This window comes from Homo sapiens, chromosome 16 (assembly GCF_000001405.40).
Source record: "Homo sapiens chromosome 16, GRCh38.p14 Primary Assembly".
NCBI classification, from domain to species: domain Eukaryota; kingdom Metazoa; phylum Chordata; class Mammalia; order Primates; family Hominidae; genus Homo; species Homo sapiens.
The window spans coordinates 89,983,201-89,996,924 of NC_000016.10; the positions used below are offsets into that span (position 1 = coordinate 89,983,201).

General features: G+C 51.0%; 1 pseudogene across 3 annotated transcripts in view, besides 8 other annotated features; it reads left to right on the top strand.

The window, feature by feature from the left end:
* AFG3L1P (AFG3 like matrix AAA peptidase subunit 1, pseudogene) overlaps positions 1 to 13,724 on the top strand; it is a 28,208-nt pseudogene that overhangs the window by 10,621 nt on the left and 3,863 nt on the right. The window contains exons 6-11 of one of the 3 annotated variants that reach the window (NR_003226.1): positions 1,331 to 1,399; positions 5,652 to 5,751; positions 7,666 to 7,803; positions 9,521 to 9,628; positions 10,568 to 10,693; positions 11,493 to 13,420. The product of NR_003226.1 is annotated as an AFG3 like matrix AAA peptidase subunit 1, pseudogene, transcript variant 1 (transcript). Of the gene's footprint in view, positions 1 to 1,330; positions 1,400 to 5,651; positions 5,752 to 7,665; positions 7,804 to 9,520; positions 9,629 to 10,567; positions 10,694 to 11,492; positions 13,421 to 13,724 lie in introns of those variants that run through there. The other 2 variants (NR_003228.1, NR_003227.1) reach the window with 2 other exon arrangements.
* Positions 5,176 to 5,350: a silencer, noted in NCBI's record as "fragment chr16:90054784-90054958 (GRCh37/hg19 assembly coordinates)". NCBI's record gives its function as "represses an EF-1alpha promoter that drives an FKBP-Casp9 reporter gene in an ReSE screen in K562 erythroleukemia cells {active_cell/tissue: K562}" and the evidence as "EXISTENCE:reporter gene assay evidence [ECO:0000049][PMID:32094911]".
* Positions 10,292 to 11,273: an enhancer, noted in NCBI's record as "H3K27ac hESC enhancer chr16:90059900-90060881 (GRCh37/hg19 assembly coordinates)". NCBI's record gives its function as "activates a minimal SCP1, AML or CMV promoter by ChIP-STARR-seq in primed H9 embryonic stem cells {active_cell/tissue: H9 hESC(primed)}" and the evidence as "EXISTENCE:reporter gene assay evidence [ECO:0000049][PMID:30033119]".
* Positions 11,274 to 12,254: an enhancer, noted in NCBI's record as "NANOG-H3K27ac-H3K4me1 hESC enhancer chr16:90060882-90061862 (GRCh37/hg19 assembly coordinates)". NCBI's record gives its function as "activates a minimal SCP1, AML or CMV promoter by ChIP-STARR-seq in naive and primed H9 embryonic stem cells {active_cell/tissue: H9 hESC(naive and primed)}" and the evidence as "EXISTENCE:reporter gene assay evidence [ECO:0000049][PMID:30033119]".
* Positions 11,274 to 13,272: a biological region, named in NCBI's record as "P300/CBP strongly-dependent group 1 enhancer GRCh37_chr16:90061681-90062880".
* Positions 11,481 to 11,775: an enhancer, noted in NCBI's record as "tiled region #3926; HepG2 Activating DNase matched - State 25:Art, and K562 Activating DNase unmatched - State 25:Art". NCBI's record gives its function as "activates a minimal TATA promoter and a strong SV40 promoter by Sharpr-MPRA in HepG2 and K562 cells {active_cell/tissue: HepG2 | K562}" and the evidence as "EXISTENCE:reporter gene assay evidence [ECO:0000049][PMID:27701403]".
* Positions 11,879 to 11,958: an enhancer, noted in NCBI's record as "active region_11432". NCBI's record gives its function as "activates an Ori minimal core promoter by ATAC-STARR-seq in GM12878 lymphoblastoid cells {active_cell/tissue: GM12878}" and the evidence as "EXISTENCE:reporter gene assay evidence [ECO:0000049][PMID:35858748]".
* Positions 12,073 to 13,272: an enhancer, noted in NCBI's record as "P300/CBP strongly-dependent group 1 enhancer chr16:90061681-90062880 (GRCh37/hg19 assembly coordinates)". NCBI's record gives its function as "activates an origin of replication core promoter dependent on BRD2, BRD4, P300/CBP, MED14 and CDK7 cofactors, with strong dependence on P300/CBP, by STARR-seq in HCT116 cells {active_cell/tissue: HCT116}" and the evidence as "EXISTENCE:reporter gene assay evidence [ECO:0000049][PMID:35650434]".
* Positions 12,255 to 13,236: an enhancer, noted in NCBI's record as "NANOG-H3K27ac-H3K4me1 hESC enhancer chr16:90061863-90062844 (GRCh37/hg19 assembly coordinates)". NCBI's record gives its function as "activates a minimal SCP1, AML or CMV promoter by ChIP-STARR-seq in naive and primed H9 embryonic stem cells {active_cell/tissue: H9 hESC(naive and primed)}" and the evidence as "EXISTENCE:reporter gene assay evidence [ECO:0000049][PMID:30033119]".

Genomic DNA, 13,724 nt, shown 5'->3' on the forward strand with positions numbered 1-13,724 from the left:
TTTTTTTTTTAGAGACAGTGTCTCCTTATGTTGCCCAGGCTAGTCTCAGACTCCTGGGCTCAAGTGATGCTCCCACTTTGTCCTCCTGAAGTGCTATGATTACAGTTGTGAACCACCACCCAAGGCCTTTTTGTCTGGCCACAGGGCACACACCTGTCTTCAGAGAGGTCCCTGATGACTCCTTATGGGAGGAAGGGAGAGCTGCTGCAGCCCATCTCTGCTGTTGGTCTTCACTCACAGCTGCTGCTGTGAGGAGCAAGATGCCTGCTGGTGTGTGGGTTCTGGACAGATCCCAGAGCTTCTGTGAGGTCCTCTCCAGGTATCTGACACGCTGACCGTGATGCGGTTGCGTTATGGTCAAGAGGCCCCTGTCATAAACACGTTCGTGTTGGTCACATGACCCTGAGTAGTCAAGAAAAGTAGGGTTATAGTGGTTTCAGATTCTGTGGAGAGGAGAAAGCAACGCTGTTGTCATGATACCTAAGGAAATGGCCGCACTCTCAAGTTGTGTTTTTGCTGCGCACCGGCTGTCGGGCTGTGTTCGCCGCTGGGTGGCTTCGTGGAGGCCTTTGGGGTTGCATTTTCATTCTTGGTGGCACCATTTTCTTGTGGTATCTGCAGCTGTGTGGGCGAAATGTTTCTGGATGAGTTCCGGAAGACTTTGCTGTATTGTCAGTCTGAGACCTCTATGCCTTTTAGATTTTTTTTTTCAGATGGAGTCTCACTCTGTTGCCCAGGTTGGAGTGCAGTGTACAGTCTTGGCTCATTGCCACTTCCGCCTCCCGGGGTCAAGCAGTTCTCCCTGCCTCAGCCGCTTGAGTAGCTGGGATTACCGGGACGCCCCACCACATCTGGCTAATATTTGTATTTTTAGTAGAGACAGGGATTCACCACGTTGGCCAGGCTAGTCTCGAACTCTTGGCCTCAAGTGATCCACCCTCCTCAGCCTCCCAAAGTGCCAGGATTATAGGTCTGAGCCACTGCGCCTGGCCTTCCTTTTAGATTTTTAAGTCACTCTGGAATCTTTGGTGCTCAGATGTACCAAATTGTAACTCCTCTTGAATTACATGCACAGGCCAGGCTAGAAATGTCCAAATCAGTCAGAAAACAAAACTCGGATCTGCACAGCAGAGTGGATGCAGCTTCTCAGACACCGTTGGAGTCTCGGTCTGCACTGTGGGGCTGGTCTGAGGATGAGGCCCGTGGTTTAGTGTTGAATATGATACTCATTGCTTTAGCTGTGGGCTGGTCTGAGGGTGAGGCCCCTGTTTACTGTTGAATATCATACTCACTGCTCTAGCTGTGCTGATTATTTTTCTCTTTTTCCCAGGTGGACCGGCTGGAAGTCGTGAACAAACAATCTGTGCGTGTTATTCCTGCCCCTGGGACCTCTTCTGAAGTGAGGGGTGAATTTAAGGCTGAGTATTGCAGACATAAGTTTATTTCGTGTAAAAATGTAGTTTTCTATTTTTTTCAGTAAAATACTCCCTTAGTATCCATCAGCTACTCGTTAATGTGTTTTTTTCTCATTGGCATGTATCAATAACAAAGCCTTCCAAGGAGGACAGGAGCCCTTATAAGACTGACTAGGGTTCAGATTTGCCAAGCAGTGTCTGAGAACAACTCATCAAGGATTGTGGGGAGAGAAGAGAAGGAGACAAAGATAAAAGAGTAAAAAGCCAAAAGGAATGGCTGGCCGTGGTGGCTCATGCCTGTAATCCCAGCACTTTGGGAGACAGAGGCGGACAGATCACTTGAGGCCAGGAGTTCAAGACTAGCCTGGCCAACATGGTGAAACCCCATCTCTACTAAAAATACAATAATTAGCCGGACATGGTGGCCTGTGCCTGTAATCGCAGCTACTCAGGAGGTTGAGGCATGAGAATTGCTTGAACCCGGGAGGTGGAGGTTACAGTGAGCCAAGATCATCCCACTGCACTTCAGCCCGGGTGACAGAGGGAGACTGTCTCAAAAAAAAAAAAAAAGAAAAGAAAAAGAGACAAAGGCACACCCCAGCAGTTGTTGGACATTTTACACTTCCATCTAGAACTTAAAGACTAATTTCGTGGGGCCAAAACCAGAGTCTTCTGCTGTTAGTTAGTTTCCCTTGGAGCTAGCCTCTGCACAGGCCTCACCCATGTGGAGATTAAGGCTAGGAGAAGAGGCAGTGGGAGATGCGTGTGTGAGGGTGGGGCTCAGTGTGGGACACGGCGATGCACCCTAAGCTTGCTCTTGCTCTCTGCAGAAGTTCTTGTGGTTTAACATTGGCAGCGTTGATACCTTCGAGCGGAACCTGGAGTCTGCTCAAGGGGAGCTGGGGATCGAGCCCCACAACCAGGCAGTGGTAGTCTACACCAGCGAGAGTGATGGGTGAGGAGGATGGCGAAGGGCCTCTGTGTGAACACAAAACAGAAATGCAACATTTAAGCTGTGTTGGAATTTGTTTTTCAAGCTTATTAGAGGCATCTGTAATAAGCAATGTCTGTAGTAAAAAATATATATATACTTTTATATATATATATATACTTTTATATATACATACTTTTACATATATATACTTTTATATATGTATACTTTTATATATATACTTTTATATATGTATACTTTTATATATATACTTTTATATATGTATACTTTTATATATATAATATACTTTTATATATACACTTTTATATATATACTTTTTTACATATATATATATATATATATATATATATATATACACACACACACACACCCCCACACACATATATGTATATATTTGTTTTTTACTGTTTTTTCATGAGAATTGAAGCAGGGAAATATTTGGCTAGGCAATGTTACAAAAGAAAACCAGTCGTTGGGTTATTGTTGGAGCAGAAATTCCCTGAAGTCCCATAGGAAGCCTTCCACAATTGGGCCATGCAGCAGGATCACTACGAGAGCCCTGTCAAAATGCACTTTCATCATTTCTACCTGCCACTCCTGCAGAAGTGTCGAATTAACGTCCAGAGGTGGGGCTTGAGCACCTGTGACTTCCCCAGGCTCCCTTTTGGGCAGCCCTGACCCATCCTTCCAGGTGCTGGGGGTCCCTGCACACAACCCTGTAGCTCCCATGTAGTACCTGACACTTGGTCGTTCTTTTGGTTTTTTTTGAGACAGTCTTCCGCTCTGTCGCCCAGGCTGGAGTGCAGTGGCGCAGTCTCAGCTTGCTGTAACCTCCACCTCCTGGCTTCACACCATTCTCCTGCCTCAGCCTCCCGAGTAGCCGGGACTACAGGCGCCCACCACCACGCCCGGCTAATTTTTTGTATTTTTAGTAGAGAGGGGGTTTCACTGTGTTAGCAAGGATGGTCTCGATATCCTGACCTCGTGATCCGCCCACCTCGGCCTCCCAAAGTGCTGGGATTACAGGCATGAGCCACCGCCCCCGGCCGACACTTGGTCATTCTAAGCTTCCAGTGGCTCTCATATTATCTTGGATTTCCGCTGCATCGTATGTTCTTAAAGTAATTATGAACACAAGGGCAAAGACCAGATGAAATACTCTGTGCGTCCCAGGACTCAGCACAGAAGTCAGTGTTGCTAAGCGTGGATCCTGTTTTCGTGTTTTCACTTCCTGGGTTTGTCATTGCTCTGTCTTCTGCGGCCCTTCTGCCCTGAATTGGAAACTGAACCGAGAGAGAGTACAAATCCAGTACCAGCTTTAGCCAGGAGGGTGTAAAAATTGGAATCGTAGTGGTGTGGGCGGTTTCTTTGAGACGTATGTTTAAGCACAGAGTAGGGGCTGCAGTGGGGTGAGAGAAGGTGAGGCAGGTAGAATTCTGGAGATTCTCTCTCAGATTCTAGTGGCAGGGCCCGAAGTGCCTGTGGTCTCCTGCTGGATGGAGCTCCCGGATGTCATCTGGGTGCTGTTTATTGCTGACTTGGGTTCTGTCTTTGCTTGTTGAGTTGCCAGGATGCCTGGTTGTATGTGGGGCTGAAAGTGAGTGTGGAGCCGCTGGAGGAGGGATGGCCTCGAGCCTTGGAAGAGCAAGAGCAAAGACAAAAATAAACCAGGCGGACATTTGGTGTCTTCCTGTGACAAAACAACCCAGTTGGCCCTAGATGTGAGGAGGCCTTGCTGGGTCTGCTGGCGGCACCTCCCGGGGGAGACACTGTGGTGTAAGCTCCAGCAGGGCTGCTTGGCCAGGTGGAGGAGGTGGAGGAGGTGGAGGAGGTGGAGGAGGTGGAGGAGGTGGAGGAGGTGGTGGGTGGTCACTCTCCCTGCCCCACCAAGCCAGCCACAGGTTCCATCAGGGAGATAGAAATGCCTGTGACTAGAGCCTTCAGAATTGGAGAGGCCTCGTGCTTGATGGACTTTGACACATTTAAAAGAAAGAGGCCGGGTGCGGTGGCTCACGCCTGTAATCCCAGCACTTTGGGAGGCCAAGGCGGGCGGATCATGAGGTCAGGAGACCGACACCATCCTGGCTAACATGGTGAAACCCCGTCTCTACTAAAAATACAAAAAATTAGCCGGGCGTGGTGGCGGGCGCCTGTAGTCCCAGCTACTCGGGAGGCTGAGGCAGGAGAATGGTGTGAACCTGGGAGGCGGAGCTTGCAGCGAGCCGAGATCTCGCCACTGCACTCCAGCCTGGGCGACAGAGTGAGACTCCTTCTCAAAAAAAAAAAAAAAAAGAGGCCGAGGGCCGGGCGTGATGGCTCACAGAGGTAATCCCAGTGCTTTGGGAGGCTGAGGAGGGAGGATCACCTGAGACTAGGAGTTCGAGACCAGCTGGGCAACATAGTGAGACTGCGTATCTATAAAAAGTTAAAAAATTATCTGTTGTGGTGGCATGCATGCCTGTGGTTCTAGCTACTCAGGAGGTTGAGGCAGGAGAATCTCTTGAGCCTGGGAGTTCAAGGTTACTGTGATCATGCCACTGCCCACCAGCCTGGGTGACAGTGAGACCCTCTCTCAAAAAAAGGAAAAAACCCTGCTACCTTTTGTGTAGCAACACAAAGTCCTAGAGCGGTCTCCTCTAAGAGACAGAGTTTTGCTTTGTCATCCAGGCTGGAGTGTAGTTGTGTAGTCATGGCTCACTGCAGACTTGAACTCCCAGGCACAAGCAATCCTCTTACCTCAGCCTCCTGAGGAGCTGGAACTACAGGCACACGCCACCATGCCCAACTAATTTTTGTATTTTTACTAGAGACAGGGTTTCACCAGGTTGTTTAGGCTGGTCTCGAACTCCTTACCTCAGGTGATCCACCTGCCTTGGCCTCCCATAGTGCTGGGATTACAGGTGTGAGCCGCCACACCCGGTCATTTTTATAAATTTTTTTAGAGACGGAGTCTTGCCACGTTGCCCAGGCTGGTCTTGAACTTCTGGGCTCAAGAGATCCTCTCACCGTGGCTTCCCAAAGTGCTGGGATTACAGACGTGACTCACCGTGCCTGGCATGAAGGTGCTATTTCTGACCTCCTGAGTGTGACAAGTAGTTCTCTTGGATTTTCCAGCTCTTTCTTGTGAAGTCTGGTGCCCACCCTTCTCCTGGTTGGCATTCTCGTCTATGCTGCCAGGAGGGGCCTTATGGGATCCAGGCGCAGTAGACGAGGAGGGGGCCTCTTCGGTGTTGGTGAGACAGCAGCCAAGATCTTAAAAAGCAACATCGATGTGTTATTTGCAGACGTAGCTGGGTGCGAAGAATCAAATTGGAAATTATGGAATTTGTGAATTTCCTGAAGAATCCCAAGCAGTATCAGGACTTAGGAGCAAAAATTCCAAAGGTATTGATTTTGGAAAACATAGTAATACTCTGAGCTCCACATAGATGGCTGTGGGTCAGAGTCGGTTCTTACTCCTGTTTTATTAATTTAATATTAATTACATAGAACAACAGGTACAACTTGTATGAACAGGCTTGGGATCAGATGTAGTTGCCTCTTGGTAAGCCCGTGACCCAGCCAGCGGCTAGGTGTGTGCAGCCAGACGGCGGCTACGTGTGTGCGGGCAGTCAGCCAGCGCGTTGCAGGTGGTGTGGGTCAGGGTGCTGGATCTGGCTGCTGGGCACACAGAGCAAGTTTATCTCTTCGTGCCATTTTGGGGTCATGACTCTTTGGGGGCCTGAGAGAAGCCATGGATTTTTTTTCCCAGAAATATTTGCATTCACAGAAACTCGATTCACACACCCTTTTAACTCACCTCTGGGCTTTGGACCAGGCTGACATCCAGATCCTTGCAGTGGCCTTGCACCCCCACCCCCCAGCACCTCCCGATGGGGTGGGCATTCACTGGGCAGTTTGTTCCAAACAACAAATAATGATTATACCAAGCACCGGGAACCTGGGGCGGAGCCAGAAGGTGACAGACCTGTTTTCCACTTTGATGAGCATGAGGCTGGGAAGCAGGTGTGTGTGACAGATGTGCAGAGCCTGGGGCCTTCTGCTCCTGTTGGAGCTCCACTGGCAGCTGCCATTCACCTCAGCTCATAGTCAGGTGCTGCAGTGGGTGGTTCTCTTTGCCTTTCAGAATTTTTTTTTTTTTTTTTTTTTGAGACGGAGTCTCGCTCTGTGGCCCAGGCGGGAGTGCAGTGGCGCAATCTCGGCTCACTGCAACCTCCACCTCCCGGGTTCACGCCATTCTCCTGCCTCAGCCTCCCGAGTAGCTGGGACTACAGGCGCCCACCATCACGCCCGGCTAATTTTTTTTGTATTTTTAGTAGAGACGGGGTTTCACCGTGTTAGCCAGGATGGTCTCGATCTCCTGACCTCGTGATCCGCCCGCCTCGGCCTCCCAAAGTGCTGGGATTACAAGCGTGAGCCACCGCGCCCGGCCTTTTTTTTTTTGGAGACAGAGTCTTGCTCTGTTGCCCAGGCTGGAGTGCAGTGGTGCGATCTTGGTTCACTGCAACCTCCACCTCCCGGGTTCAAGCTATTCTCCTGCCTCAGCCTCCTGAGAAGCTGGAATTAACAGTTGTGTATCACCACGCCCAGCTAATTTTTGTAATTTTAGTAGAGACAGGATTTCACCATGTTGGCCAGGCTGGTCTCAAACTCCTGACTTCAGGTGATCCACCTGCCTTAGCCTCCCAAAGTGCTGAGATTACAGGTGTGAGCGATCGCATCCTTTTTTTTTTTTTAATTTATATCTATTGCTGCTGAACAAATTACAGTTTTTTTTTCATATGCATGTATTTGCTGGGGAAAATCTGTATGATGGAGTGGGTGAGGCAGTCAGGTACCAAGAAAGGCCCCTCACGTGGTGTGTTGGTCCCCCTTTCCCAGCAGGCAGGGGCTCCTGCGAGAGGGGGCTCTGTCAGCTTCTGTGTTACATCACAGGCCTCGTGCTCTGCTGTGGATGTCAGGAAAGAGTTAGTGGGGTCAGGGCCCATCTAGGTTTCCCGTTCTTGGGTATGAGGTACAGTGATTTCCCAGAATTACCTCTGCCTGTGGCATCCCCCATGAGAATCCATCATGAAGAGCTGGCTGTGTGTGCGGCCATGGTGGGTGCCTCTCCTGGAGCACATGGGTAGGACGGAGTGTGCTGTGGGCAAGTCTGGCCCCCTCCTGCCCTGCAGCTCCTTAGCCATCCCTAATGGGATTCTTCTTAGTCAATCTCAGAAGTCACCAGTTTAAGCAGCTCTCTCACCTGTGTATCATCTGCTCCCCTGTTAAGAGCCCGATGTCACCATTCTGTTTCAGGGAGCCATGCTCACTGGTCCTCCTGGTACCGGCAAGACCCTTCTTGCCAAAGCAACTGCAGGGGAGGCCACTGTGCCCTTCATCACTGTGAACGGGTCTGAGTTCCTGGAAATGTTTATTGGCGTTGGGCCAGCAAGGGTAGGTGGATGGGAACCTGCTGCAGGTGGCCTCAGCACCGTGCCTTGACCAGGACTGGTCAACTTGAATAGCTTAGTGTGGGGCCCTGGGCATGGGCATGTGTGGGAGGTGCTGGTGCACTGAGGCAAAATGGGTCAGAGGTTTCCAAGGAGAGGGTGGAGGATAACTGGCGTTCCCGTCTTCCTACCAGTAGCAAAACCGATTCTGGGTGGGTTCCTGTTTCAGGTTCATGACATGTTTGCAATGGCCCGAAAAAAACGCTCCATGTATCTTATTCATTGATGAGATTGATGCGATTGGCAGGAAGCGAGGCCAAGGGCACTTTGGAGGCCAGAGTGAGCAGGAGAACACCCTGAACCAGATGCTCGTGGAGATGGACAGTGTGTGCAGCTGTTCCCCTGCAGCTGCTTAGGAATAGTCTGCACAGCCTTTTTCTGTACAGTCACCCCCAGAAGAGAATCCCTGATTATTCTGTTTTTAAGGAAGGGTTCTCTCAGGCAAACGTACTGGAGAAAGCTGTGTTAGATTCACAAGCCTCCTCCAGTGCATTCCCCTGCCCCCAGATGGAGAGGAGTTCTCTGGAGTGTGGAGACACCTGCTTCTCTGGGGAGGGGGACCAGGTAGCCGAGCATGGCTGCTCCTGACGGTGCCCACAGGGTGGTGTGTGCACAACCCATGCTCCTTCCACTCTGAGCCTTGTCTTGCTGCCCCTGCATCACCCAGAATCTCACAGACTCCCCAGGCCTGCCTCCTCTCAGAGTGATTGTAGCTAAGATGTGACTGATCGTTGTCTGTCAGTCCTGCTAAAGCCTCATTGGACACGTCCAGGCTTCTGTGCCAGCTTTCAGATTTGGACAAACTTTCACTTAGACCTTTGGCAGATGTGATTTTCACTTTGGCTTTAGGGCCGTGTTGGGGTCCCTAAGACCACCCCAGATGTGGTGACATGCTAGAAGTCATAGGACTCAGTCTATAGTAGCACTCAGGGCTTTATTACCGTTAAAGGATACAGCAAAATCAGCCAGGGGAGAAGGCGCATTGGGTCGTGGGGAGACCAGGTCCGTGTTGAACCCTCCCCCAATGGAGCCACATGGGACGCGCTGACTTCCCCCAGCATCAAGCTGTGACCACGCCTGCCTGATGTTGACCAGGAAGCTCAGGAGAGACTTGGTTCCCAGGGTTTTTGCTGGGGGTGCACAAAGCGTTTGGGCCCAGGGAGCTGTTTTCTCAAGGAATGGTGGGAACGCTCCCAGAATCACAGTGCCCAGACACTGCCCTTGCGAGCAGGCCTTTCTGAGGACAGCAGTCAGGCCTGCTGTGTTCAACACTTCTCTGCGGGCCAGAAGCATTTCCTAAATATTGTTTTGTCTTTAGTACCCAGTAGTAATTCTAATTAGATGATGACTGTTTTGATATTTGGAGGGGACCGATTGGAGAGGAGGGAAGTGGAGCACTCAGCCTTTCTCCTCCCTTCCCCTCGGCTGGGCATTCCATTTCCTGTGCAGCCCCTGGCTTGCCCTCCTCCACTCCAGCACCATGTGGTGTCAGAGGCTGCAGGAACCCATAATAAGTCAGGATAAGGAGGGCCCACGCCCTGGACTTCGCTGTACCCCCTGAGCCAGGCTGTGGGGTTCCCAGGTAGCGGAGGGATGGCTGGTTACCTGCCATGCACACATCCGGCTAGCTGCTGAGGCTCACCTGCTTCTCCTGTGTCCAGGGTTCAACTCTGCCACCAACGTCGTGGTGTTGGCTGGCACCAACCGCCCTGACGTCCTGGACCCGGCCCTCATGCGGCCTGGCCGGTTTCATCGCCAGATTTACACTGGTGAGTACCCCTTTCTCGGGGTTGGGCCTTTATCCCCTTGGCCAAAAAGTTTGTTTAGGTGATTTGCAGTGTATTTGGAGGGATTTTGATAGTAATTCCCAGGCAGTTAATGTAACATTTTGAAAATGTGTGAGAGCCCCAGGTTGCTGCCGTCCGTCCTGCCCCTGGCAATCCACTTTTTGGCAAGAATATATGTGGTTGGGCCTGCAGGGATGTTGCTGCAACACAGAGAGGTGGGAGGGATGTAACAGATACTTATTCTCCAGCTTTTTTTTTTTTTTCCCACTACTATAAAAATTTGATAGTCGGCTCAGCATGGTGGCTCACACCTGTAATCCCAGCTCTTTTGGAGGCCGAGGCAGGCAGATCACTATGTCAGGAGTTTGAGACCAGCCTGGCCCATATGGTGAAACCTTGTCTCTACTAAAAATACAAAATTAGCCGGGCGTGGTGGCGTACGCCTGTAATCCCAGCTACTCGGAAGGCTGAGGTAGGAGAATCGCTTGAACCTGGGAGGCGGAGGTTGCGGTGAGCCGAGATGGCACCACTGCACTCCAGCCTGGGCAACAAGAGCAAAACTCTGTCTCAAAAACAATAAATTATGAAAAAGTAAAAATTGATGATTTAGAAGACAGCAATTTATCCCTTACTCTTCACCCTGACGGTCAGCCATCGTCGCCTTCCCCCTACCCTCTTGTGTTTGTTAGGAAGCATTAATCCTGTGTGGCCCTCGGCTGAGGGGTTTAGTAGCTGTGGAGGCAGATGTGTGTGTGGCCTGGCTGGTTTCTGCCATTGCTTCCAGCTGTGTCTGGAGGATGACAGCAGAGACCTCCACAGGGACCCCAGCTGTCCTTGCAGTTCTGTGGTATGGTTGTGGGTGACTGTTCTGAAGACCCAGAAAGCACAAGAGCCCATGCTTCTTTCTCTGTTTTTCATTAGGTCCCCCTTACATTAAAGGCAGGTCCTCCATCTTTAAGGTCCACCTGCGCCCACTGAAGCTGGACAAGAGCCTCAATAAGGACACCCTGGCGAGGAAGCTGGCAGTGCTCACCCCAGGCTTCCCTGGTGAGTGCTGCGGGCTGTGCTGTTCCCCGTGGTGGGAGCCATGTGTGCTCTGCTCCTTGTCATGGGGGGTGGTGACTGGCCGTTCTCATTCAGTTCTGGCAGTGCTCACCCTTGTCTGCAGGACTTTTCGCCTGTTGAGAGTGTTCAGAGGCCTCAGAGATCAGTTTCTTAGCCCCAAAACTAATTTGTACCCACTTGAATTTCTGTCTTAATTAAAGTCAGACTTAGTGAGTCTTACTGCAGAGCTGACAGTAATGTCCCAGGGGGAGAATCTGGCAACCTGATGCTTCCCGCAGCGTTTCTGCCTGGGGCTTGCCCTCCCTGCTGAGGAAGCTCGTTTGCTTTTCTCTCTTCTTTTCAATGAAATCCTGGTCTATGCTAGGAAACCTACTTCCCTGCCTAGGCGGGATCACCCTCAGGAATGAGTGGGGACTTTTCCAGGGAGATGCCTGTTCTTTTCACCCATGCTCCGCAGCTCTTTGCTGCGTCAGTACCTCATGGTTATGTGGCCATTGGCCACGGCTTCTGACCTATGCCCGCCGGCTCCTGCCACCCCTGGAACATTCTGCTGTGGCATCTTATCACCTCCAGCTGCCTTGGCGCCCCCAGTGGTACCCGTCCCCTGGCTCCCCACAGTGTCCTGCCTAGTGTCAGGTCACGTGTATTCACACAGGATTGTACGTTTGCCTGCTGCAGGATGGTGAGTGAGGTCTTGGCTGGCAGGTATCTGAAAGGTGTCATCTGTCTTAGACACAAAATGTGCTTCCTCCCTTTTGTTCTCTCCTCTGGCTGACTTCAGATGTCTGTTTACATACCAAAGTTAAAAAGCTGGAATGTTACCAAGACTGCTTTCTTCTGCCCATAGACGGGGATGACTCAGCACTACCCCTCAACAGAGATGACTTTGATGACTCTGCCCCTCAGCAGGGCTTACTAAGCACTACCCCTTAACAGGGATGACTCCGCACTGCCCCTCAACAGGGATGACTCAGCAGAGATGACTCAGCACTGTCCCTTAGCAGGGATGACACAGCAAGGATGACTCAGCACTGCCCCTCAGCAAGGATGACTCAGCACTGCCGCTCAACAGACATGACTCAGGGATGGCTTAGTACTGCCCCTCAGCAGGGATGACTCAGCACCGCCTCTCAACAGGGATGACTCAGCAGGGATGACTCAGCACCGCCCCTCAACAGGCATGACTCTGCAGAGATGACTCAGCACTGTCCCTTAGCAGGGATGACACAGCAAGGATGACTCAGCACTGCCCCTCAGCAAGGATGACTCAGCACTGCCGCTCAACAGGGATGACTCAGGGATGGCTTAGTACTGCCCCTCAACAGGGATGACTCAGCAGGGATGACTCAGCACCGCCCCTCAACAGGCATGACTCTGCAGAGATGACTTAGTACTGCCCCTCAGCAGGGATGACTCAGTACTGCCCCTCAGCAGGGATGACTCAGCACTGCCCCTCAACAGGGATGACTCAGCAGGGATGACTCAGCACTGTCCCTTAGCAGTGATGACACAGCAAGGATGACTCAGCACTGCCCCTCAGCAAGGATGACTCAGCACTGCCGCTCAACAGACATGACTCAGGGATGGCTTAGTACTGCCCCTCAGCAGGGATGACTCAGCACCGCCCCTCAACAGGGATGACTCAGCACTGCCCCTCAACAGGGATGACTCAGCAGGGATGACTCAGCAGTGTCCCTTAGCAGCGATGACACAGCAAGGATGACTCAGCACTGCCCCTCACCAAGGATGACTCAGCACTGCCGCTCAACAGACATGACTCAGGGATGGCTTAGTACTGCCCCTCAGCAGGGATGACTCAGCAGGGATGACTCAGCACCACCCCTCAACAGGGATGACTCAGCAGGGATGACTCAGCACTGCCCCTCAACAGGGATGACTGCAGGGATGACTCAGCACTGCCCCTCAGCAGGGATGACTCAGCACTGCCCCTCAGCAGGGATGACTCAGCAGGGATGACTCAGCACCGCCCCTCAACAGGCATGACTCTGCAGAGATGACTCAGCACTGCCCCTCAGCAGGGATGGCTCAGCAGGGATGACTCAGCATTGCCCCTCAACAGGGATGACTCAGCAGACTCAGCAGGGATGACTCAGCACTGCCCCTCAACAGACATGACTCAGCAGGGATGACTCAGCACCGCCCCTCAGCAAGGATGACTCAGCAGGGATGATTCAGCAGAGATAACTCGGGGATGACTCTGATTGTCCTTCAGCAGGGATGAGTCTGTTTTGCTCCGATGGAAGCATCTGTAGTGTCCATCAGCAGGTGAATGGCCAAAGTGGTATATACTGTAGTCACATTCAGCTATAAAAAGGAATAAAGTATCGATGCATGCCACAACATGGGTGAACCTAGAAAATACTGATCTAAATGCAAGAAGCCAGGCACAAAAGGCCACATAGTATATGTTCCCATTTATGTGAAATGTGCAGAATAATAATAAAAATGTATAGAATAGCAAATCTGTAGGGACAGACATGAGGTGAGTGGTTGCCAGAAGTGGAAATGGGAGTTAACTATAAATTGCACAGGGTACCTTACAGAGATGATGGAAATGTCCTAAAACTAGATTATGGCAATAGTTGCACTACGTGATCAGTTTATTAAAAATCGTTGATGTGTGTGTGTAAAATGGGTGGATTTTATGGTTTATAAATTATACCTTAATAAAGGTTAACAAAAAATGTGGCTAAATAGTGGTGACTGATGGACACCTCCCATTACCTTTAAGTTCTCTACTGAAGTTCAGCCTTGGCCTCTCTGCTGGAGATTTTCCTTAACAACTGATCTGGGTCAAGCTCCAGCGGCCAGGAGCAGCACTGACTGTTGGCTATTCCTTCCTGGGTCTGGTGCTGATATTTCGAATGTTTGCAATGAAGCAGCCCTGATTGCTGCCTGGCATCTGAGTTCTTCTGTTCAGGAGAAACACTTTCAGCAGGCCATTGAGAGGGTCATCGGAGGTGAGCCTGGGAGCCCTTAGGGAGGGAGGGGT